Raw genomic sequence first — 24,443 nt, 5'->3', positions numbered from 1 at the left:
GAGGCAGCGGCGTTCACACCATAGTTTAAGTTAACAATGCCCGGCTGGGACGTGCGCTGTGTGGCCCTCCTCGGGGACTGCAGTGTGGCAGAAAAAAACACCCTGAGCTTCCTCTCTTCTCTTTCTCCTGCTGATATTTTGCTGCCCCTAACAATCATTGGATCCAATATAAGCTATAAAAGGCAGCCTCACAAGTGCTGAGCAGGGGAGGGAAGGATGGAGAGGGGTCTGCAGGGGCGACTAAAGATTCCCAGCATGAAAGGCAACTGCTATCTATCAAGGATATTCATCCATCTAACGGGGGTAATAATTTATCCTAGAGCTGTTGCTAAGGCTGAGTTAATATAGCTGAAGTGTACTATCAAGGTTAATGGCACCCACCTGAGTTCAAATCTTTGCACACATCCTCACTTAAATGTAAAAACTCAACAAAGAATGCAAATGAAGCCATGACTCACTCCTTCAACATTACTAGGAGACAGAACCCAACAAACTTCAAATAATCTGCAGGTAGAAAAAAACCACCAAATACCAGCAGACCTCCACTGCCTCTATAGGTCATGAGCAGGGTCAACAGGTCAAGGGAGGCTTAAAGGACTCAGTACAGGCCAGGCACCGGGGCTCACGCCGGTAATCCCAACCCTTTGGGAGGCAAAGGTGGGAGGATTACTTGAGCTCAGGAGTTTGAGACCAGCCTGGGCAACATGGTGAAATCCCATCTCTACAAAAAAAAAAAAAAAAAAAAGAAACAAAAAAAAATCCCCCCCAGATTAGCCAGGTGTGGTGGTGTTTGCCTGTAGTCCCAGCTACTTGGGAGCCTGAGCGGGGAGGATCACTTGAGCCCAGGAGGTCAAGGCTGCAGTGAGCTGTGATCACGCCACTGCACTCCAGCCTGGGTGACAGAGCAAGACCCTGTCTCAAAAAACACAAAGCAAAAAAAACCTGTACATAGATTTTTAAAATATGGATTAAAACATGTAAATGCAAAATATGTAAACATAGTAAACATTGGCCAGGCAACACACCTTTGGTGAGGCTCCTTCCATATGTCCAGTCCTGCACCAGCCATTCCAAGTACATATCCTGTGCAGCTTCCATCCCAGAGGGGGAAACAGACAAGCCACCGAAGAATGTACTGAAAGGTGGCTTCCAAAAAGATATATTCATTTCCCAGCTCCTGGAACTTGTGAGTGTGATCTTATTTGGAACAAAGGTCATTGCAGACGTCATGAAATTAAAGATCTCGAGAAGAGATCATCCTAGATATAGGGTGGGTCCTAAGCCCAGTGACAGGGGTCCTTATAAAAGAAAGGGAGAGAGACATTTGAGACACAGAGATGCAGAGAAGGTCATGTGAGGACAGAGTCAGAGATGGGAGTGGTGCATGTATGAGCTGAGGAACGCCTGAAGCTGTCAGGAGCTAGAGGGGCCGGGAAAGATCTCCCCTATAGCCCCAGAAGCAGCTCGGCCTGGACAGCATCTTGATTTTGGATTTCTGACTTCCCGAATGATGAAAGATGCTTTTCTGTTGTTTGAAGCTGCCGAGTTGGTGGCCATTTGTTATAGCAGCCCTGGGAAACAAATGCAGGGAAGGCATTTTCCTTGCAACCAACTTCAAGATCATTGCTTGAGGCTGGCACAATGGCTCACACCTGTAATCCCAGCACTTTGGGAGGCTGGGGTGGGAGGATCATTTGAGGCCAGGAGTTTGAGACTAGCCTGAGCAATATAGTGAGACCCCATCTCTACCTGCCCCCAACCCCCCCACCAAAAAAAAAAAACAAAACGGAAATTAGCTAGACGTGGTGGCACCTACCTGTAGTCCCAGCTGCTAGGGAGGCTGAGGTGGGAGAATGGCATAAGCCCAGGGGTTTGAGGCTGCGGTGAGCCATGATCACGCCACTGCACTCCAGCCTGGGTGACAGAGGGAGACCTAGAGACAAAGTCTTATTCACAGTTGGATGTCTACCATTGAGAGTGCAGCCAGGGTCCACTTGGAGACAGGAACCATGCCAGTTATTCTAACAGAGAGAACTTAGTATATAAAAGTGTTAACTAGATATTGAAAACTTGAAAAGGCAAAGAGAAAACACTAAGTGTCACGGACAGAGAAACTGCAGGAAGTAGCTACCGTCCTTGGACAAGGGCAACGAAGGAAAGAGGCTGAAGTTGTTAAAACTTAGAAGCTTGGAGGAGGAGTCCCTTGGGGCTGGGACGCAGACCTCTGAAGGGGATGGAAAGAATCAGAAGAAGCCAGATATTGGGGCCAGCTCTCCAGACAGGCATGGCCACACTTAATCAAAGTCAGATCATATTTCTCCTTGGCTCAATACACTCCATGGCTGGTCGGGCACGGTGGCTCATGCTTATAATCCCAGGACTTTGCGGGGCTGAGGTGGGCAGATCATGAGGTCAGGAATTCAAGACCAGCCTGGCCGACACAATGAAACCCTGCCTCTACTAAAAATATAAAAATTAGTGGGGCGTGGTGGCAGGCACCTGTAATCTTAGCTACTTGGGAGGCTGAGGCAGGAGAATCGCTTGAACCCAGGAGGCGGAGGTTACAGTGAGCCGAGATCACACCACAGCACTCCAGCCTGGGTGACAGAGCGAGACTCCATCTCGAAAAAACAAACAAACAAACAAACAACAACAACACACTCCATGGCTCCCATCTGACTTGGAGGAAAGTGACTCCGAGTCATACCTGGAAGGCTGTGCTTTGTCGCACGCTGACGGCTTCTCTGAGCCATTTCCTACGTGTCTCTCCTCACTCACTTCACTCCCCAACACTGCCTTCTGGTTCTTGTATGTTTCAGACACACGCAGGGCCTTTGCACTGGCTGTTCCTCCTCCCTGGAACACTGTTCCATTAAATATCTTCTAAATTCTCTTTTATTTTTATAGACATAAGGGTCTCACTGCTATGTTACCCAGGCTGGGCTCAAGTGATCCTCCCGCCTTAGCTTCCCAAAGTGCTGGGATTACAGGCATGAGACACCGTGCCTGGCCTGTGTCCTTAAATATATATATATATATATATATATTTTTTTAGGCAGGGTTTCACTCTTGTCACCCAGGTTGGAGTGCAAGGGTGCAATCTTGGCTCACTGCTGCCACCTCTATCTCTCGGGCTCAAGCGATTTTTCTGTCTCAGCCTTCCAAGTAGCTGGGACTATAGGGCATGCCACCACCCCAGCTAAGTTTTATATTTTTTGTACAGATGGGGTTTCACCATGTTGCTCAGGCTGGCCTTGAGCTCCTGGGCTCAAGTGAACCACCAGCTTCGGGATCCCAAAGTGCTGGGATTACGGGCATGAGCCACCGAGCCTGGCCTGTTCCCTTAAATATCTTTTAAGTCTTTGTTCCAACACACCTCCATAGTGAGCTCTTCCCTGACCTTCCTGCTAAAAGCCCAACTCCCAGCAGCCCCTCCCTTCACTCTGCTTCGTTTTCCTCCTTAGCAAGCATGGACACCTTCTCCTTTTTTTGTCTTACTCTGTCCCCCAGGCTGGAGTGCAGTGGTGCCATCTTGGCTCACTGCAACCTCCGCCTCCCAGGTTCAAGGATTCTCCTGCCTCAGCCTCCCTAGTAGCTGGGATTACAGGCACCCACCACCACGCCCAGCTAATTTTTGTATTTTTAGTAGAGACGGGGCTTTGCCATGTTGGCCAGGCTGGTCTCGAACTCCTGACTTTAGGTGACCCAACTGCCTCGGTCTCCCAAAGTGCTAGGATTACAGGTGTGAGCCACTGCACCTGGCCAGCATGGTCACCTTCTAAGACACAAAATACTCTAGTGATTTGGGTTATTGTTCATCTCCCCTCCACTAGAACAGAAGCTCCCCCAAGACAGGGATGTTATCTCTTTTGTTCGTTACTGTATCCTCAGTATCTAGAGCAGAGTAGGCATTCAGTAAATCTTGGTGGAATGAATGAGTGAATTAGGGCCTTTCCAAGGATAAATGCAGCGACTAGGGAAAGAGAGCTTGTTGGGTGCCACCTCTGAGTGGCCCTGCCTGCCCTCCCTTTCCCTGTCAGGACACAGGTCACAGGTGCTGTTCTGTCCTGGGGAGAACTGGAGGCTGGCCAGCTGCTCCCTGATCCATGGCCATCTAGAGCCATCTAGAGCCATCTAGAGCCTCTGAGCCCACTCCGGCCCCTCCAGCAGGAAGAAGATGTGAGCGCCTGATGGCCCAGCTCCAGTGCTGCAGGCCAGAGCAGCCAGGCTGGGAAGGAGAGCTCAGTGGAAAGGTATGTGTGAGGCACCCTCACTCCCCCAGACTGTATGTCCTGGGAGCCTTGTGGGAGATAGCGGCTGTGGGTGGTTGACAGGCCCCCAAGAGCTACCTTAAAATAAGTCCCTAGCAGAGCCATCCTGTTACCACCCTGGCTTCCTCCTGCCCCATTTTCAGGCCTGGGATGCTCCCTTCTCCCCAACCCAAAGAGAGGGCTTAGCTCAACCAGCCCTGCCCCGACAAACTATGAGAATTGTCCAAACGGCAGGCACAGCAGGTGTAACTGGGAGGAACAGCCACCAAGCTCAAGCTCGAAAACATGTGGTGGAGGTCATGTTGATGGCCATGATGATGGTGATGATGATAAAGGTATCAGTGAGGGTCCTAGCCGAAAACCAATAGCACACTCACATTAGGACAATTCAAGAAACGTTAATAAAGACTTTACAAAGATATAGGCATAGTGTATAAAGGCATTCAGAGGCCAGGTGAAGTAGCTCATGCCTGCTATCCTAGCACTTTGGGAGGCTGAGATGGGAGGATCCCTTGAGTCCGGGAGTTTGAGACCAGCCTGGGCAACACAGTGAGACCCCATCTCTAAAAAAAATAAAAAATCAGTGAGGTATGGTGGTGCATGCCTGTGGATTCAACTACTTGAGAGGCTGAGGCAGGAGGATCACCTGAGCCCAGGAAGTTGGAGGCTGCAATGAGCCATGATCACACCACTGCATTCCAAGCTGGGTGACAGAGTGAGACCCTGTCTAAAAAAATATGAAAAATAAAAATAAATAAATGCAGATAGATACAGAAACCACTAGAAATTGTGCCCAGGGAAAACAGCAGCAGCCAGATTGCCACCCTTAAGTCTGCAGGATCCTGACACAGAGAGAGCTGGGGAAGTGGTAGGTGCCAACGCTAGGTGGCACGGCAAGTCAGAGCTGGCAGAAAAAAACACCCTGGACTCCCTCTCTTCTCTTTCTCCTGCTGATATTCTGCCGCTCACCACCATTCATTGAATCCAACATAAGCCATAAAAGTCAGCCTCATGAGCGTTGAACAGGGGAGGGAAGGATGGAGAGGGGTCTGCACGGGCGACTAAAGATTCCCAGCACGAAAGGCAACCACCATCTATCAAGGATATTCATCCATTTAATGGGGGTAATAATTTATCCTAGGGATGCTTTGAAGGCTGAGCTAATACAGCTAAAGTGTACTAGCAAGGTTAATGGTGGCCATCTGAGTTAAAATCTTTGAATGCATCCTCACCTAAATGTATAAGGTCAACAAAGAATGCAAATGAAGCCATGACTCAATCCTTCAACATTACTAGGAGACAGAACACAATAAACTTCAGATAACCCGCAAGTAGAAAAAAGCCACCAAATTCCAGCAGACCTCCTGCTGCCACTGTAGGTATTGAGCAGGGTCAACAGGGCAAGGGAGGCTTAGAAGACTCAACGCAGGCCGGGTGTGGGGGCTTACGCCTGTAATCCCAGCAGTTTGGGAGGCTGAGATGGGAGGATCGCTTGAGTTCAGGAGTTCGAGACCAGCCTGGGCAACCTGGTGAAACCCTGTCACTACAAAAAATACCAAAAAATTAGCTGGGTGTGGTGGCACAGGCCTGTGGTCCCAGCTACTTGGGAGGCTGAGGTGGGAGAATCACTTGAGGCCAAGAAGTGGAGGCTGCAGTGTGCAGATGATTGATCCACTGCCCTCCAGCCTGGGGGACACAGCAAGACCCTGTGTCAAAAAAAAAAAAAAAAAAAAAAGAAAGAAAGAGAGAAAAAAAAAGGCACAGTATCAAGAGGAGGGAGAAGGGAGCAGAGTTAATAAACAAAGTACACACAGAGTCATCTTCAGAAAGAGAAAGGCCAGCACTGAGCGTCCAGATACCAAACACAGGTTTGGGACTCAGTGGCTCACAGCGCCAGCTACAAGAAAGAAGCTTGGAAGTGAATGGCTCAAAGCCAGCAGCCTCAATAACGCATTGCCTCTGGGAGAGAATCTGATTAATGGATGAGGTCGTTCATCTTCAGGATGGTGGCCACCAATTCTCTCCTTTCCTATAGATGCATGTAGTTCCCCACTGAGAGGCAGAATCCATTCCTCTACTCTCTTATGTATGGGTTTCCCTGTGACTATTTTTGTTTTGTTTTGTTATGGGATCTCACTCTGTCGCCCAGGCTGGAGTGCCGGTGATCCTCCCACCTCAGCCTTGCAAGTAGCTGGGATTACAGGCGCAGGTCACCATGACCAGCTAATATTTTTGTTTTTATTTTTAGTGGAGATCGTGTCTGGCTATGCTGGCCAGGGTGATCTCAAACTCCTGGGCTCAAGCAATCCTCCTGCCTTGGTTTCCCAAAGTGCTGGGACTATAGGTATGAGCCATGGTGCCCGGCCCCCGGGACTGTTTTTTTTTTTTTTTTGGTTTGGTTTGGTTTTTTTGAGATGGAGTTTTGCTCTTGTTGCCCAGGCTGGAGTGCAATGGTGCGATCTTGGCTCATCACAACCTCCGCCTCCCAGGTTCAAGCGATTCTCCTGCCTCAGCCTCCCAAGTAGCTGGGATTACAGTCATGCACCATCACGCCCAGCTAATTTTGTATTTTTAGTAGAGATGGGGTTTCTCTATGTTGTTCAGGCTGGTCTTGAACTCCCGACCTCAGGTGATCTGGCCATCTCAGCCTCCCAAAGTGCTGGGATTACAGGCATGAGCCACCGCGTCTGGCCACCTGTGACTGTTTTAACCAATAGAAAATGATGAAGGAGACACCGGGCCAGTTCCTAGAAGAGGACTGGCAGCTTCCACTTTGGACCACTTGCTGTGGGGAAGGCCATCACCACTGAGGAATTCAGGCTGGCCACACAAGGAGGCTGCATGGAGAGAGACACAATGGACCAGCCTCCATCTGTCCTCGCCATTGCAGCCCAGGTAAGAGGCATGGATGAAATCTTCAGGTGACTCCTGACTCAGCCGCCATCTGACTACAACCACATGAAAGACCCCAAGTGACAGTCATGCAGCTGAGCCTCATCCACCCCTAGGACCACGAGATACAATCAAGTGATTGTTCTTTTAAGCCACTAAGTTTGGGGCGGTTTGTTGGACATTGAAAATCATCAGAACAATAGAGAGTGGTGGTGGCCCTTGGAGATGTGGCAATGAACAGAAATGAGGGAGTAAGGGGGTGTAATGAACCAAACTGAACTGTGTCCCCCCAAATTCGTATGTTGAAATCTGGCTGGGTGTGGTGTCTCACGCCTGTAATTCTAGCACTTTGTGAGGCAGAGGCAAGAAGAACGATTGAGCCCAGGAGTTCGAGACCAGCCTGGGCAACATAGGGAGACCCTGTCTCTACAAAAAATCTAAAAATTGGCTGGACGTGGTGGTGTGTGCCTGTAGTCCAGCGGCTCAGGAGGCTGAGGTGGAAGGATTGCTTGAGCCTGGGAGGTCAAGGCTGCAGTGGACCATGATTGCACCACTGTCCTCCGGCCTGGGCAACAGAGTGAGATCCTATCTCAAAAAAAGTTAACCTCAGTATCTCAGAATGTGACTATATTTGAAGACAGGGCCTTTAAAGGGGTAATTATCAGGTTCGTTCAAAAATCATTGCAGTTTGCCATTACGTTTCATGGCCAAAACCACAATGACTTTTGCACCAACCTATACTTTGAAATGTGGTCATTAGGGTGGGCCCTAATCCAATATGACTGGTGTTCTTATAAGAAGAGGAGGCCAGGCACAGTGGCTCGTGCCTGTAATCCCAGCACTTTGGGAGGCCGAGGTGGGTGGATCACCTGAGGTCGGGAGTTTGAGACCAGCCTGACCAACATGGAGAAACCCTATCCCTACTAAAAATACAAAAATTAGCCGGGCGTAGTGGTGCACGCCTGTGATCTCAGCTACTCAGGAGGCTGAGGCAGGAGAATCGCTTGAACCCGGGAGGTGAAGGTTGCAGTGAGCCGAGATTGCGCCATTGCACTCCAGCCTGGGTGACAAGAGTGAAACTCTGTATCCAGAAAAAAAAAAAAAAAGAGGAGGTTAGGACACAGATATGTACAGAGGGAGACCATGGGAGGACACAGGAAGAGACGGCATCTGCAGCCAAAGAAAGAGGCCTCAGGAGAACCAGCCCCACCCACACCTTGATCTTGGACTCCCAGTCCTCAGAACTGATAGACAGTACACATCTGTTGTTCAAGCCCCCTGTCTGTGGTTCTTTGTTACTGCAGCCCTGGCAAACAACTACAGGAGGAAATTATGGATCCTGTAGAAACTAACGAGGAAGAAGATGCCCCCACCCCTTTCCTCCAATACTCCCCATCATCATCATTCATTTTAAGACCATGCTTTCAGCTGGGTGCAGTGGCTCACACCTGTAATCCCAGCACTTTGGGAGGCTGAGGCAGGCGGATCACTTGAGGCCGGGAGTTTGAGACCAGCCTCGCCAATATGGCAAAACCCTGTCTCTACTAAAAATACAAAAATTAGCTGGGTGTGGTGGCACACGCCTGTAATCCCAGCTACTCAGGAGGCTGAGGATGAGACTCTGTTGAACCCGGGAGGTGGAGGTTTGTTGCAGTGAGCCGAGATTGCACCACTGCACTCCAGCCTGGGTGATAGGGCGAGATTCTGGGACGGACCTCTTATCCTTTCTCCGGCAGCCTCACACCTGCTGAGCCATGCCCCTGCTGTTGAGAGACATGAAGAAAGCCAGGCTTCTGATTTTTCTCTCCAGCTCCTTAAGGTTGTTGAACACATTTTCTGCTTTTTGTCTGACCAAAGGGGACTAACTCACATTACAAAAGGAGAGAGTTAAATCAGACAATGTTCAGGACATTTGTCTGCAAAGACTCTGAGACTCCGGCTGTTATCGAGGGCTGAAATATCTTGTTTTCAAACATTTCTAAGAAAAAGGCAGGCAGTTTCTTTTGGAGACTGTCAGTTAAGAATCTTTAGAATGGAAGTGACAGAAATCTAATTAAGTTGCTTTGGGGAAAAAGAGGTCGAAGGGGCAGATTTATTGGCTCACATAACTGCAAAGTCCAAAGTAGATTGACATCAGGCATTGCTGGATCCAGGGACTTGAATGCTGTCACCAGAATGCCAGCGATGGGGAAAATATGGGTGAAGCACAGTTCTTTCTGGAGGTGGTAGGAAGGATAAGGTGACCCTTTCAGAGTCCCTTGTTCCTAAGCAAGGGGAGGGAGGGAGGGAGGAAGTGGGGGGCGGGGGAGACAGAGAGAGAGAGAGAGAATATTACCTGGCAACACACAGTAATTTCTATGCTCAGAAATTGCTGGTGAGGCTGGACATGGAGGGTTGGAAGTTTTTGGTTTTGTTATTGTTGTTATTGTTGTTATTGTTGAAGACAAGGTCTCACTCTGTCGCCCAGGCTGGAGTGTAGTGGGGTGATCCTGGGCTCCTGGGCTCAGGTGATCCTCCCGTTTCAGCCTTCCAAGTAGCTAGGACTATAGGTGACACCACCATACCCGGCTATTTTTTATTTTATTTAATTAATTTCTTTCTTTCTTTTTTTTTTTTTTGTAGAGGCAGGGTCTCACGATGTTGCCCAGGCTGGCTTTCAACTTCTGGGTTCAAGCAATCCTCCCACCTGGGCCTTCCAAAGTGCTGGGATTACAGGTGTGCACCACCACACCAGACTGAGTGGTGGGAATTAGTAATTATTTTCTTTCAAGCTGCCAAGCACAGCCCTCCCTCTGTTAACCATGTCTAGAGATTTACTTCAAGAGCAGAGAAGGTCTACAGACCCATGCTGGTTTCCAAAGCACCCCCTAACACACACACACACACACACACACACACACACACACACACTTGTGTGCACACCTGCATGTCTGCCACAGCTGTGAAGGGCCTGATGGCCCTATGCAGGTGGTTTCTGGCTTTTGGAGGAAGTCTAAGGGTCACAGAAGACAGAGGCACTACTGGGGAAGTGGGAGCTAGCAATCTCACCTATAAAATGGGGTAAGCTGGTAAGCTGGCCAGGCGTGGTGGCTCACAGCAGTAATCACAGCACTTTGGGAGGCCAAGGCAGGAGGATCACTTGAGCTTAGGAATTCAAGACCAGCCCAGGCAACATGGCGAAACCCTGTCTCTACAAAAAATATGAAAAATTTCTAAAAGTTAGCCAGGTGTGGTGGTGCATGCCTGTAGTCTCAGCTACTCAGGGGGCTGAGGCAGGAGAATTGCTTTAGCCTGGGGGAGTCAAGGCTGCAGTGAGCCAAGGTAGCCCCACTGCACTCCAGCCTGGGTGACAGAGTGAGACTCTGTCTCAAAAAAAAATGTGTATAGTATATATATAGGGTGAGTTGACTTATTACAACTAGGGCTTTTGTGCCTGGCAGAAACCTTAGTCTAATCCTTTCACTCTACACAAAGGGAAACCATCCTAGAACAGAGAAGCAAACCGAGCAGAATCTTCGGAACAGGCCGGGCACGGTGACTCACATCTGTAATCCCAGCAATTTGGGGGGCAGAGGCAGGCGGATCACCTGAGGTCAGGAGTTCGAGACCAGCCTGACCAACATGGTGAAACCCCATCTCTACTAAAAATAAAAAATTAGTTGGGTGTGGTGGCACGTGCCTCTAGTCCCAGCTACTCAGGAGGCTGAGACAGGAGAATCACTTGAACCCAGGAGGCGGAGGTTGCAGTGAGCTGAGATCGCACCACTGCATTCCAGCCTGGGTGAAAGAGGAAGACTGCATCTCAAAAAAATTAAAAAAAAAAAAAAAGAATCCCTGGAACAGAGCCACACCGTGAGTCAGCCACGGGCAGAGACGAGCCTGCCTCCTGCCTCCTGGGTCAGTGCTCCTCTGTTTCCTCCTTTGCTTCCCCCAGGTGCCCAGTGCTCTCATACCATCCACTTTGGCTGCCCAGGACTAGACTGGAGATTGAGGCCAGAGGGAAGCTACAGAAAAATCTTGCAGCTGGAGTCCTACTCTCTGACTAGTCAAACCTTGTATTCTGCACAGCTTCTTCCTTCTGCAGAGAGCATAGGGGTGGTAGCTGATCCATTAACCAGCCCTTCTAGCCTCTGCTTGTGCATCTGCTCTGCCCAGAGTGCCCTCCCCATCTTCCATCTTCCTTCTTGTGGCTAACTCATTCTTATCCTTCAAAGCCTTAGCCCAGCCCCACCTTCTCCAACAAACTCCCTTCTCGACTGCGCACTCCTGCTGTGCTCACAGAGCATCCAGGACTCACTGCCACTGTATCTGTCACTCACTGTGGCAGCCTGGGGAGCCTGTGATTGTGCCCACCTTTCCCCCTGCACTGTAAGCTTCTCAATGGCAGGGACTTTCTTGTCCGTTATGTATCCCCACCTTCCAGCAGAAATATTAGATTTTAACCTGCACAGTCTCATTTTATGCTCACAACAACCCTATGAGGTAGCCATGAGAAAACAAGGAGAGAGAGGAAGCAACTTGCCCAACACACAAAGGTAGCAAGAAGTTGATGTGAAATTGAGCCCAGACTGTGATTTCAGTCTTGGGTCTGGGCTACTGTGACCCCAGGGTCTCGGTGAAAGTTTGTTGAATGACTTAAGGGTCTTATTTCTTTCTGTGTGGCCAGATTAAGCACTTAGAGTTGGATGGTGGTGGGGAACCAATACTTCTACCATAACAACATTTGCTGAGGGCTTACTATGGGAGAGACACTATGCTTGGCATTTGACATATACTCTATTAATTTCCCATTGCTGCTGAAACAAAGTCTCACAAGCTTGTTGGCTTAAAAGAACATGATTTTATTTTCTTACAGTTCCAGACATCAGAAGTCTGAAATCTGTTTCACTGGGCTAAAACTAAGGTATTGGCAGGCCCATATTCCTTCTGGAAGCTCTAGGGAAAAATCCATTTCTTTGCCCTTTCCAACTTCTAGAGGCTGATTACATTCCTTGGCTCATGGCCCCTTCCTCTATCTTCAAAGCCAGCAGTGTAGTCTCTTCTCTCCTCTCTGACCTGTTCCCATCCTTACATTTTGTCCCTCTGACCTTGATCCTCTGGCTTCCCTCTTATAAGGACCCTTGTGATGACATTGAGCCTTCCTGAATAATCCAGGAGAATCTCTCCACCTTGAGGTCCTTAACTTAACCACACCTGCAAAGTCCTTTTTACCATGTAAAGTAGTATATTCGCAGATTCTGGGGATTAGAATATGGACATCTTTTGGGGACTATTATTCAGCTTACCACAGACATCATCAAATTTAATCCTTGTACATTAATGCTCCAACAGAGGTGTTATGATTAGCTTCATTAAATAGACTTGGAAAGCACATAGCATATGACAGGCCCTCGATAAATGTTGATGGGGCTGATCTGGTGTGAGAGTTAGTTGACAACATATCCTCCTCCCTGGACAGCAGGCCTTGGAGGATGTGTCTAGTTCTGTGTCTTCCTCAAGTCTTCTTCCACAGTCCCCTCCACTGGGGACAGATAGAAACTCTGTCAGAGTGTATGACACTTAGACACTTAATTGTCTCACTTGGGGTCACTTTGTCTCCCCAGTGAGATCACAATCTCCTTCAGTGTAAAGACCAACTCTCATGTACTACTAATTATTTGGCCCTTTATACAGTGCCACGGGCTTTTGCAGATATTATTTTTTTCCTTTTAGTCCTTGCAAGGACTGTCCATTTTGCCGAAGAGCAAAGTGAGGCTCTGGCGAGATGCAGAGTCAGTTTTTGATGGTGCTGGTTGATGAATCCTGCCTTGCTCTGAACCCTTTATCTCATGGTACTCAGCATGAGGGGCTTTCTGCACCCTCAGCAGCCTCTCGCCCACTGACTCCCCTCTGCACTTGGCTGAATTTTCTTACCTCTTTAGCTTCCTCTTAGCCTTTTGATACTCTTACTGTGGCATGCTCATGTGCACGCACACACACACACACACACACACACACACACACAAAACTACCCCAGCCCCCCAGAACATTTCCAGCACTGGTGTCTTTACACAGCCCTTACCCACCCACCTCCATTTATATTTCATCTGCAAAATGCTCATCTGAGCCACTTCCCATTCTTTCTCCTGCACACACAGTCACCACTAGAATTGCACATCCCCCACAGCACAGCTCCCAGAGCCTTCATAGATGACACGGGATTCACCTAAGCTTGCTTTTTGTAGAAACACCTTGTGATCACCCTGGCAGTGATTATGAGCTTCAGGTCTGGAATCAGACTGCTGGCTAGACTAATCAGACTGGTTAGAATCCAGGATTTATCATGTGTCAATTGTGTGACTTTTGGAAAGTAGATTAATTCATGAACACCATTTCCTCCTCTGAAGTGAGGAATAATAACCGTGCTTTTCTCACCTCAGGGGCAGATGCTATTTTTTAGGCAAGATCTGCTTAGAGGTCCCAGTTTCTTATTGCTGCCCTTCTCTGCTGTAACTCTTCTCCCCTCATAGACAGCTCCACTCCTCCAGCCTGCTGCTTGTTGACACCAATTCTCTGGAAGGGGAGTGACATCAGTCATATATGCTTTAGGGGGGTATTTAAGCTGCTATGACTCTTCTCAGGGGCATTTCTCTCCAAAGTCTCACTTCTAATCACCAGGCCACCTGCTAATGATAATTAGATCATGGGTGGTCAGATGAAGGAGGCACTGGGAGAGGGGAAATCCCCATATCTCTGGTATCCCAGCAAATAGATAACCATCATTCCAGCCATCCTTTTGTTTTCTTTCTTTCTTTCTTTCTTTCTTTCCTTCTTTCTTTCTTTCTTTTTTCGCTCTCTGTCAACCAGGCTGGAGTGCAGTGGCGTGATCTCAGCTCACTGCAACCTCCACCTCCTGGGTTCAAGTGATTCTCCTTCCTCAGCCTCCCGAGTAGCTGGGACTACAGGCGCCTGCCACCATGCCCAGCTAATTTTTGGTAATTTTAGTAGAGACGGGGTTTCACCGTGGTCTCGATCTCCTGACCTCGTGATCCGACCGCCTCGGCCTCTCAAAGTGCTGGGATTACAGGCGTGAACCACCATGCCCAGCCTATCCTTTTGTTTTCCATCCTGTGTTGGCTTGGTGGGGGAGAGGAGGTGTTGACACGTGGAGGACACACATATAAGGCATTCTTGGGTGACTTCGTCATCACTGGACCCTATCTCTCAAAATTCCAGCGAAATCTGCTCTTCCCTTTAAGGAGTGAAAGAAGGGTCAGCATTCCAGAAGTTCCTGGTCATACCCAGGCTTTTAATGAATTGCCACTGGGGAATCAGCATCCCGTTGCTGTAAGGACTATAAGATGGCGGATTGTGAGAGCATAGGGAAAGGTCTCGGAGGTCTCTTGTCCTTGCTCCACGCAGGTCTTTCTGGCCTGAAAATCCCGTTGAAGAGAGCAGCTCTTGAGAGTTTGCTCCAAGTTCCCTCGGGGTGATCAGCACCACGGACAGCGGCCAGGGCGCCCCCGAGGACCCGCAGGCAGGCAGGGTGCACAGCGGCGAGCAGGTGCTGCGCTACGTGCGGGCCAGGGAACTCGCGCGGGGAGGGGAGAGGCGCCGCGGGTGGCGGGGTCTTGGCCGGGGCTGTTTTCGCTGTGAGTCACCCCGTGCTCCCCGCGCTCACGTCGGTCCTCGGAAAGCCGGGGTCCTCCCTGCCTTTTCCAGCAACGGTGGGGTGGGGAGGCAGGAAGAAAGCGCCAACCTAGGACACCTGGACATTTGCAGGAAAGGAAGAAGCGGGAGACGGGGACTTGTCTGTGTCTCCAGCGCGTTCCTGCCCCCCGGCCCGACCCGGCCCATTTCTATACAAGGTCGGCTCTGCCCGGTCTCCACCTCCCACGTCGCAGGCGCGGAGGGGCTCATTCCCGGGCCCTGATCTCAGAGGCCCGGAATGTGGCTGATAAATCAGAGATAACCCTGCATGGCAGGGCAGGCCCGACACTCAGCTCCAGGATAAAAGGCCACGGTGTCCCGAGGAGCCAGGAGGAGCACCCCGCAGGCTGAGGGCAGGTGGGAAGCAAACCCGGACGCATCGCAGCAGCAGCAGCAGCAGCAGAAGCAGCAGCAGCAGCCTCCGCAGTCCCTCCAGAGACATGGATCCCCAGACAGCACCTTCCCGGGCGCTCCTGCTCCTGCTCTTCTTGCATCTGGCTTTCCTGGGAGGTCGTTCCCACCCGCTGGGCAGCCCCGGTTCAGCCTCGGACTTGGAAACGTCCGGGTTACAGGTGAGAGCGGAGGGCAGCTCAGGGGGATTGGACAGCAGCAATGAAAGGGTCCTCACCTGCTGTCCCAAGAGGCCCTCATCTTTCCTTTGGAATTAGTGATAAAGGAATCAGAAAATGGAGAGACTGGGTGCCCTGACCCTGTACCCAAGGCAGTCGGTTCACTTGGGTGCCATGAAGGGCTGGTGAGCCCAGGGGTGGGTCCCTGAGGCTTGGACGCCCCCATTCATTGCAGGAGCAGCGCAACCATTTGCAGGGCAAACTGTCGGAGCTGCAGGTGGAGCAGACATCCCTGGAGCCCCTCCAGGAGAGCCCCCGTCCCACAGGTGTCTGGAAGTCCCGGGAGGTAGCCACCGAGGGCATCCGTGGGCACCGCAAAATGGTCCTCTACACCCTGCGGGCACCACGAAGCCCCAAGATGGTGCAAGGGTCTGGCTGCTTTGGGAGGAAGATGGACCGGATCAGCTCCTCCAGTGGCCTGGGCTGCAAAGGTAAGCACCCCCTGCCACCCCGGCCGCCTTCCCCCATTCCAGTGTGTGACACTGTTAGAGTCACTTTGGGGTTTGTTGTCTCTGGGAACCACACTCTTTGAGAAAAGGTCACCTGGACATCGCTTCCTCTTGTTAACAGCCTTCAGGGCCAAGGGGTGCCTTTGTGGAATTAGTAAATGTGGGCTTATTTCATTACCATGCCCACAATACCTTCTCCCCACCTCCTACTTCTTATCAAAGGGGCAGAATCTCCTTTGGGGGTCTGTTTATCATTTGGCAGCCCCCCAGTGGTGCAGAAAGAGAACCAAACATTTCCTCCTGGTTTCCTCTAAACTGTCTATAGTCTCAAAGGCAGAGAGCAGGATCACCAGAGCAATGATAATCCCCAATTTACAGATGAGGAAACTGAGGCTCAGAGAGTTGCATTAAGCCTCAAACGTCTGATGACTAACAGGGTGGTGGGTGGCACACGATGAGGTAAGCTCAGCCCCTGCCTCCATCTCCCACCCTAACCATCATCACCCTCTCTCTTTCCCTGACAGTGCTGAGGCGGCATTAAGAGGAAGTCCTGGCTGCAGACACCTGCTTCTGATTCCACAAGGGGCTTTTTCCTCAACCCTGTGGCCGCCTTTGAAGTGACTCATTTTTTTAATGTATTTATGTATTTATTTGATTGTTTTATATAAGATGGTTTCTTACCTTTGAGCACAAAATTTCCACGGTGAAATAAAGTCAACATTATAAGCTTTATCTTTTGAAACTGATTTGTCTTGGCGCATTAAAAATAATCCCTCATTTCAAAGAAACCAACCCAACTAAAACCACAAAGCCCTGTGATCTCAAGGCATCTTCATGGTGGGATGAGGATGTGGCCTCAGAGGTAGCAGGCTTTCTTTTCTTTCAGAGTTTTTAATGCTCTGAAATGTTATTGAATATCTCAAGCACTTGAGGCACTTGGGAGAAACTGCTTTTCAAAGCAGGGCAGGATACGTGTGCAACCTGAGGGCACGTATCCAGCCGTTTTCTCCACTCGTCCTTGCTCTGCCTGGAATTCCACCATTAAAGCACTCTCCCTGGGGATTATTGCTTTCAGGTCTCAGCTAAAATGTCAACGACTGGGGGCAGTGTGTGTGGGTGTGGCTCATCTACATTCCCATACCGGGGTGAGCCCTCCATCCTGCCCCAAATATCAGCTTTGAAACTCCAATTCCTGGGGTCATCCTGCAAAGGAGCCTTCAAAACTCCAACCCACAAAGTGAGAGGGGTCTGGCAATCAGCCCAGCTTTCCAGGGTGCCCCTCCCCTGGGGCTGCATCATCTCTTCTCTTTGCCTTAACCAGTGGGGAGGCTGTCTCTCCTATGGGTCCCCTTCCCACACACCCTGCAATCCAGGCCTCCGCAGTGCTGAGTTCCTCTCCTTTCAGATTCCTGGGAAGGGCCTCATGTCATTCGCTTTCTCACAATGCCATTTATAATTCCAGCTCAGCTGAGGGGTAAGGCACCATGAGGTCCACTATTATTATGTCCATTTTCCAAATGGGAAAACTGAGACCCGGGAAAACTGAGACCCTGGAAAACCAAGCGTCCTATCCAAGAGCACACAGCGACTAAGCGCTGGTGTGGGAACTGAGCGGAGATCCAGGTGACTCTTGAGCCTGTGCTCTCTGACTCTTGAGCCCCACACTCCTGCCCTTGAACTTCACTCTCAAGTCTTTTCTGATGTTCTCATCAGATGTTTCTTTGAATGAGAGTGACCTAGAGGGTGGAACTTTGTGTTATTTATCATTTTCACCCAGTGTGCATCTGAGGATTTATGGATATCTAATGACATCAATTAAGATTGTTTAGACTGGGTGCGGTGGCTCACACCTGTAATCCCAGCACTTTGGAAGGCCGAGGCCAGAGGATCACCTGAGGTCAGGAGTTCGAGACCAGCCTGGCCAACATGGTGAAATCCCCTTTCTACTAAAAATACAAAAATTAGCCGGGCATGGTGGTGTGTGCCTGTAATTCCAGCTATTCAGGAGGCTGAGGCAGGGGAATCGCTTGAATCTGAGAGGTGGAGGTTGCAGTGAGCTAAGATTGCACCACTGCATTCCAGCCTGGGTAACAAGAGTGAAACTCCATAATCTCAAAAAAAAAAAATTGTTCAAAAACGAGGTTTTAGGCCAGGGACAGTGGCTCACACTGTAATCCCAGCACTTTGAAAGGCCGAGGCAGAAGGACGGCTTGAGCCCAGGAGTTCAAGACCAACCTGGGCAACATAATGGGACCCCCATATCTTCAAGAAATGAAAATGAAAAAAATTATCTGGGTGTAGTGGTGCATGCCTGTGGTCCCAGCTACTCAGGAGGCTGAGGTGGGAGGATCGCTTAAGCCTGGAAGCGGGGAGGCTGCAGTGAGCTGTGATTGTGCCACTGTACTCCAGCTTGGGTGACAGAGGGAGACCCCATCTCAAAAAACAAACGAACAAAAAAAGAGAATAAAAGAAATAAAAAAGAGGTTTTAGGGGCAGCTTATTTTTCCACCAACTGTGAGTCATGTCTAATGCTTCCAAACCGGGGAGAGCAATGAGTAATTAGAATAGTTAATATTCATAAAGGCCTCATTCATGTACCAGGCACAGTCATATAGACCTCACAACAATGAAGGAGTTAAATTTCTTTTTTTTTTTTTTTTTGAGACAGGTCTCACTCTGTCATCCAGGTTGAAGTGCAGCGGTGCAATCTCGGCTCACTGCAACCTCTGACTCCCGGGTTCAAGCGATTCTCTCGCCTCAACCTCCTGAGTAGCTGGGAGTACAGACATGCACCACCACCCTCAGCTAATTTTTGTATTTTTTGTAGAGATGGGGTTTCATCATGTTGGCCAGGCTGGTCTCGAACTCCTGGCCTCAAGTGATCCACCCGCCTCGGCCTCCCAAAGTGCTGGGATTACAGGCTTGAGCCACTGCTCCTGGCCTGGAGTTAAAACTCTTACATCCCTCTTTTTACAGATGGGGAAACCAAGGCACAGAGATATATAACTTGTCAATGTCATGTAGTTAGCAAGTGGCAGAGCCAAGATTCGAGGACCCGTACCCCTAACCACTGTCCCACCCAGCTTTTTCCAAGCCAGTGAATTAGGCTTGTGGGTGGGATGGAGGTCCCCCTCCTGGTGGCATCACTCAGTTCAACATCTGGGCCACTGCCTGCTGGTGGCCTTTCCCCTCTGCTCAGGTGATGAGGACACACCCCTCCCAAAATACTCCCCAAACCCAGCCAGCACTTTCAAATTCCTGCAGATGAGTCTGGCTCATCCATAAATGGGGCTCAGATGGTGGAGGCTGTACACACCATACATCCTGTTACTTGGGTCCTTTCCCTAAGCAAGGAAAGAGGACCCCAAAGTGACCTGCGAAGGAGCCAAATGTGACAGTTGGAGCTGGGTAGCGGTAGCGGGCCGCCTGCTGTACCCAGTGAGTGACATCTCATCAAGCTCTCCACGTGGTTGGTGTTTGCAGGCAGCTTTGTGGTACACACACCGCATGTAGATGCCCTTAAAACCAGCCCTCCCTAACCATTCCCCACGTAGCTGTAGCCATGGCCTTAACCTCCCTGACTCCCCGTTACCAACCTTGTCTCCCAAAGAAGCTGCCAAATGATTTATCTCCATAGACACTTTTTTTTTCTTTCTTTCTTTCTTTTTTTTTTTTTTTGAGACAGAGTTCTCTGTTGCTCAGGCTGGAGTGCAGTGGCATGAATACAGCTCACTGCAGCCTCAACCTCTCAGGCTCAAGCAATCCTCCCACCTCAGTCTTCCAAGTAGCTGGGACCACAGGCTCATGCACCACGCCTGGCTAATTTTTTTTTACTTTTAATTTTTTGTAGAGATGGGGTTTCACCAGGTTGCCCAGGCTGGTTTCAAGCTCCTGGGCTCAAGCAATCCTCACACCTTGGCCTCCCAAAGTGCTGGGATTACAGGTGTGAGCCACTGTGCCCAGCCTTACGCTTGTTATCTTATTTTTTATTTATTAATTATTTTTTGAGACAGAGTCTTGCTCTGCTGCCCAGGCTGGAGTGCAGTGGCACAACCTTGGCTCCCTGCAACCTCTGCCTCCCTGGTTCAAGCAATTGTCCTGCTTCAGCCTCCTGAGTAGCTGGGACTAGAGGCGTGTACCACCACACTTGGCTAATCTTTTTGTATTTTTAGTGGAGACGGGGTTTCACTGTGTTGGCCAGGCTGGTCTCGAACTCCTGACCTCAAATGATCTGCCTGCCTCGGCTTCCCAAAGTGCTGGGATTACAGGCGTGAGCCACCACACCCGGACTCTTGTTATTTTAATCTTTCCAGAAAGACGTGTTGGTGAAAACAGACTGAGGAGATTTAGTCCATGGCTTCAGAGCTGCAAGAAGCTTCAATAGAGAGTGAACTGGTTTTTTTCAGGTCTTCAGTGTTGAAGTCACAGAAGTCAGGACAACGTTGGGCCTGAAAGCTTCATCTCATGTCCGTGATTTTGCACCTGGGATAGTCTCAAGGAACACTGAGCCCCTCTCCCTCCCTCTTATGGCTGATTTGACCCTTCGTTGTTGTGTTTTGTTTTGTTTTGTTTTGTTTTTGAGATGGAGTCTCACTGTTGCCCAGGCTGGAGAGCAGTGGTGCGATCTCGGCTCACTGCGACCTCTGCCTCCCAGGTTCAAGCAATTCTCCTGCCTCAGCCTCCCGAGTAGCTGAGACTACAGGTGTGCGCCACCACGCCCGGCTAATTTTTTTGTATTTTTAGTAGAGACGGGGTTTCAGTGTGTTAGCCAGAATGGTCTCCATCTCCTGACCTCGTGATCCGCCCTCCTCGGCCTCCCAAAGTGCTGGGATTACAGGCATGAGCCACCGTGCCCCACCTGCTTTGGCCTTTCTGAGAATGATTTGTGGCAAGGAAAAAAAATGCATTTCTCTTCCTGCAGAGCTGGGTCTAAACCATGACATGAACTTGGCCATTTGTCTTTGTTCATGTTGTAGATCTCAGCCTCTCTCTAGGATTTTTCATCCACTGCCTTAGCTTAAATAATCAGTCTTATTCCACCAAGTGATCCATTTTTCCCTTGGGGTCTGGAGCCTGCCCCATACAGCTGCCTTAAGCGTTTCTAGAACCAAACTCAGTATCTGCCCTTGGACACTGGCTCCCACTCTCCTGCCTCTAGCTGTCCCGTTTCGGGCACGGCAGAGGCCCGTAGCCCCTGATCTTCAGCACACATCAATCCTTTCATCCAGCAGCACTGCACTTTTCTGCCTAAGAACTTTCTCTGGCAGCCGCAGCCCACTCAGCTCCTTGGGGCCGGCAGGAAGTGCTGGGGAATTGACATTGACCTGAGCAGTGCTCAACCAACATCTGACAGGAGCTGGCTTTTTTTTTTTTTTTTTTTTTAAATAGAGACAGAGTCTTGCTCTGTCACCAAGGCTGGAGTGCAGTGGCATGATCATAGCTCACTATAACCTCAAACTCTTGGGCTCAAGCGATCCTCCCACGTCAGCCTCCCAAGTAGCTGGGATTACAGGAGTATGCTGCCATGTCTGGCTAATTAAAATAATTTTTTTTTTCTGTAGAGATGGAGAGTCTCACTATGTTTGCAAGGCTGATTTTGAACTCACGGCCTCAAGCAATCCTCCTACCTTAGCCTCCCAAAGTGCTGGGATTACAGGTGTGAGCCACTGCACCTGGCCAGGAGTTGGCATTTAAAGACCCAGCTCACGCCTGGTGCAGCAGCTTACACTTGTAATCCCAGCACTTTGGGAGGCTGAGGTGGGAGGATAAATTGAGTTCAGATGTTCGAGACCGGCCTGGGCAACAAAGAGAGACCTCGTCTCTACTAAAAATAAAAGAAAAAAAATTAGCCGGGTATGGTGGTGAACATCTGTAGTCCAGCTACTCGGGAGGCTGAAATGGGAGGATCACTGAGCCGGGAAGTCAAGGCTGAAATTACCACTTCACTCCAGCCTGGGTGACAGAGCAAGACTCTGTTTCAAAAATAAAATAAAATAAAATAAAATAAAACAAACACCCAGCTCCCTTGAGTCATAGGTGGCATGTGTCTCTGTTCTCCAAACAGAGAACCTGTTTGGAGTTCTCTGTGGGAGGAGGATTAAGCACCTACTGCCAGAGGTGGTCACTGACTTCTACTTTTTCTGTATCACTTCCCCACTCTCCACTGACATTTCCTGGGTTTGTCTCCAAGATCAGCCACTAATACTGGAATATCTGTCTCCGGTTCAAGAGAACTTAAACTAAGACACTCCCAAATAAGTCAACCTTCCTGCAGAGCCCTGCCCTTCATGATTCTCCTGCCTCAGCCTCCCGAGTAGCTGGGACTACAGGTGCACACCACCATGCCTGGCTAATTTTTGTATTTTTAGTAGAGACGGGGTTTCACCATGTTGGTCAGGCTGGTCTCGAGCTCCTGACCTCAAGTGATCCACCCACCTCAGCCTCCCAAAGTGCTGGGATTACAGGCATGAGCCACTGCACTCAGCCAATGTCACCTTACATTTGCTTTCCTTCCTTCTCTATTTGTGTGGGCAGTGCTTTCAGAAGGCCCCCAGAGATCCCCAACCTCCTGGTCTTCATACCCTCTGTAACCCCCTCCCTTAGAGTGTGAGTGAGACCCAGAGACTCACTTCTAAGGGACACAGAACAGTACAACATGAAGAATGGGATGTCACTTCTGAGATTAGGTAACAAAGAGACTGTGGCTTCTTCCGTAACTTCTCTTTCTCGCCTGACCTAATAGAAGACAGTTGCGTCTCCATGGAGAGACCCACGTGGCAAGAAACTGATGTTTCCACCAGCCACCAGCCAGCGAGAACCTGTGGCTTCTGCCAACAGCTGCAGGAGTGAGCCTGAAAGCCTATCCTCCCCCAGCCAAGCCTTGAGATGACTGCAGCCGCAGCCAACGCCTTCATTGCCCAGGGGCCCCAGGCCAAGCAGGGCCAGATCCCTGATCCACAGAGCACAGAGGTGATGAGATAATAGATGTGCATTGTGTGAAGTTGCTAAGGTTTGGGGTGACTTGGTTTTTGTTTTGTTTTTTGTTTGTTTATTTATTAAAAACAGGGTTCCTTATGTTGCTCAGTCTTGTCTGGAACTCCTGAGCTCAAGAGATCTTCCTGCCTCAGCCTCCCAAAGGGCTAGTATTACAGGCGTGAGCCACCATGCCTGGCTTTTGTTCTTTTTGAGACAGGTTCTCACTCTGTCACCCAGGCTGGAGTGCAGTGGCTTGGTCATGGCTCACGGCAGCCTCAACTTCTTGGGCTGTGGTGATTCTCCCACCTCAGTGTCCAGGGTAGCTGGGATGACAGGCACGCACCACTGCACCCAGCTAATTTTTTGTATTTTTAGTACAAATGGGTTTTTGCCATGTTGCCCAGGGTGGTCTTGAACTCCTGGGTTCAAATGATCCTCCCAAAGTGTTGGAATGACAGGCGTGAGTCACCACGCCCAGTCTGGGGTGACTTGTTACCCGGCAGTAGTTAACTAAAACAGCCTCTCACTCCGCCTCACTCTTGCTTCCTTTGAATAGGAACCCCCACAAAACTTTAGCGAGTGACCTTTTGCCTTGGGCTTTGTTTTCTAGGGAAACTGTCCCCAGTCTTCAGCCCTTAGTGACCTCCATATTAAACCAAAGAAACAAAACATCATTTTCAAAGTCAGCAACGATCATCCCTAAGTATGAACCAATTTTTCCCAACTGGGGCTTCTGCTTTAGACCATCTGGGTCCCGCAGAATCATGCCACGAATGTGTTGGGGATTTCGTGCCAGCTCTGCACGCGGGTGACACTGCACACTCTGGGGCTCCCTGCAGCAGCCCAAGGCATACCCCCAGAGAATCGTGAAGCCAAACTCTGGGCTGGAATCTGGCAACACCCGGATTCTGGATTCTCCCACCCGTTTGCAGTGCTCCACCCGTTGTATGACTAAGATGACTTCTTTCCAGTGATAAGGAAATAAAAGGCTTTTGATTTTTCAGCCGTGGAAGAGGTGGGGATGGAGGTGGGCCTGGCTTTCTGTGCCTGTTACTTTTCTTCTCTCTCACTCCTACAGGCTGCTTCTAACCACCCCATGAAATATTAGATCCCCACCTACAGACAAACCCCAAGGCTTGCCAAAGAGGGTCCCTTTTATCTTATCTTAGAATAATATCACCCTGGATACCTCTTGTGACCTCTAGTCACTTGCTGCCCTGATTTCCAACCTTATGGCTGCACAACGTCCTGTTCACCTGGTCAGTCATGAGGTCAGCACACCTGGGGACAGATCTGGCCAGCCAGGACAGAGCTGGTCACTCAACACACATTTTCTGAGCTTCTAAGGAGTGGATTAAAACACATTCGGTGTAGAAATAGATCAGGAGAGCAGCCAACACACACAGACTTGGTAAGTGCACAAAAAAGCTACAGCCCCAGGGGCATGGGGAAGGTGAAGGAGCTCCCTTGGGGCATCTGAAAGATGGGGAATGGGGGTTTAATTGGGGAATGCAGCTAAGAGGTAAGGTGGCAGCTCT

At 49.8% G+C, this 24,443-nt stretch overlaps 1 protein-coding gene across 1 annotated transcript, besides 2 other annotated features; it reads left to right on the top strand.

The window, feature by feature from the left end:
- Positions 6,684 to 6,833: a silencer, noted in NCBI's record as "fragment chr1:11927350-11927499 (GRCh37/hg19 assembly coordinates)". NCBI's record gives its function as "represses an EF-1alpha promoter that drives an FKBP-Casp9 reporter gene in an ReSE screen in K562 erythroleukemia cells {active_cell/tissue: K562}" and the evidence as "EXISTENCE:reporter gene assay evidence [ECO:0000049][PMID:32094911]".
- Positions 14,616 to 14,782: a silencer, noted in NCBI's record as "fragment chr1:11919401-11919567 (GRCh37/hg19 assembly coordinates)". NCBI's record gives its function as "represses an EF-1alpha promoter that drives an FKBP-Casp9 reporter gene in an ReSE screen in HepG2 liver carcinoma cells {active_cell/tissue: HepG2}" and the evidence as "EXISTENCE:reporter gene assay evidence [ECO:0000049][PMID:32094911]".
- On the top strand, positions 15,181 to 16,662 carry NPPB (natriuretic peptide B). Its single transcript, NM_002521.3, has 3 exons — positions 15,181 to 15,424; positions 15,657 to 15,912; positions 16,455 to 16,662. The coding sequence occupies exons 1-3, from the start codon at positions 15,293 to 15,295 to the stop codon at positions 16,469 to 16,471; spliced, it is 405 nt and encodes a 134-aa protein (NP_002512.1). The 5' UTR covers positions 15,181 to 15,292; the 3' UTR covers positions 16,472 to 16,662.

Source organism: Homo sapiens, chromosome 1, assembly GCF_000001405.40.
Source record: "Homo sapiens chromosome 1, GRCh38.p14 Primary Assembly".
NCBI lineage: Eukaryota > Metazoa > Chordata > Mammalia > Primates > Hominidae > Homo > Homo sapiens.
The sequence above is the reverse complement of the archived record's forward strand: the minus strand, read 5'-3'. Positions and strand labels throughout refer to the sequence as shown.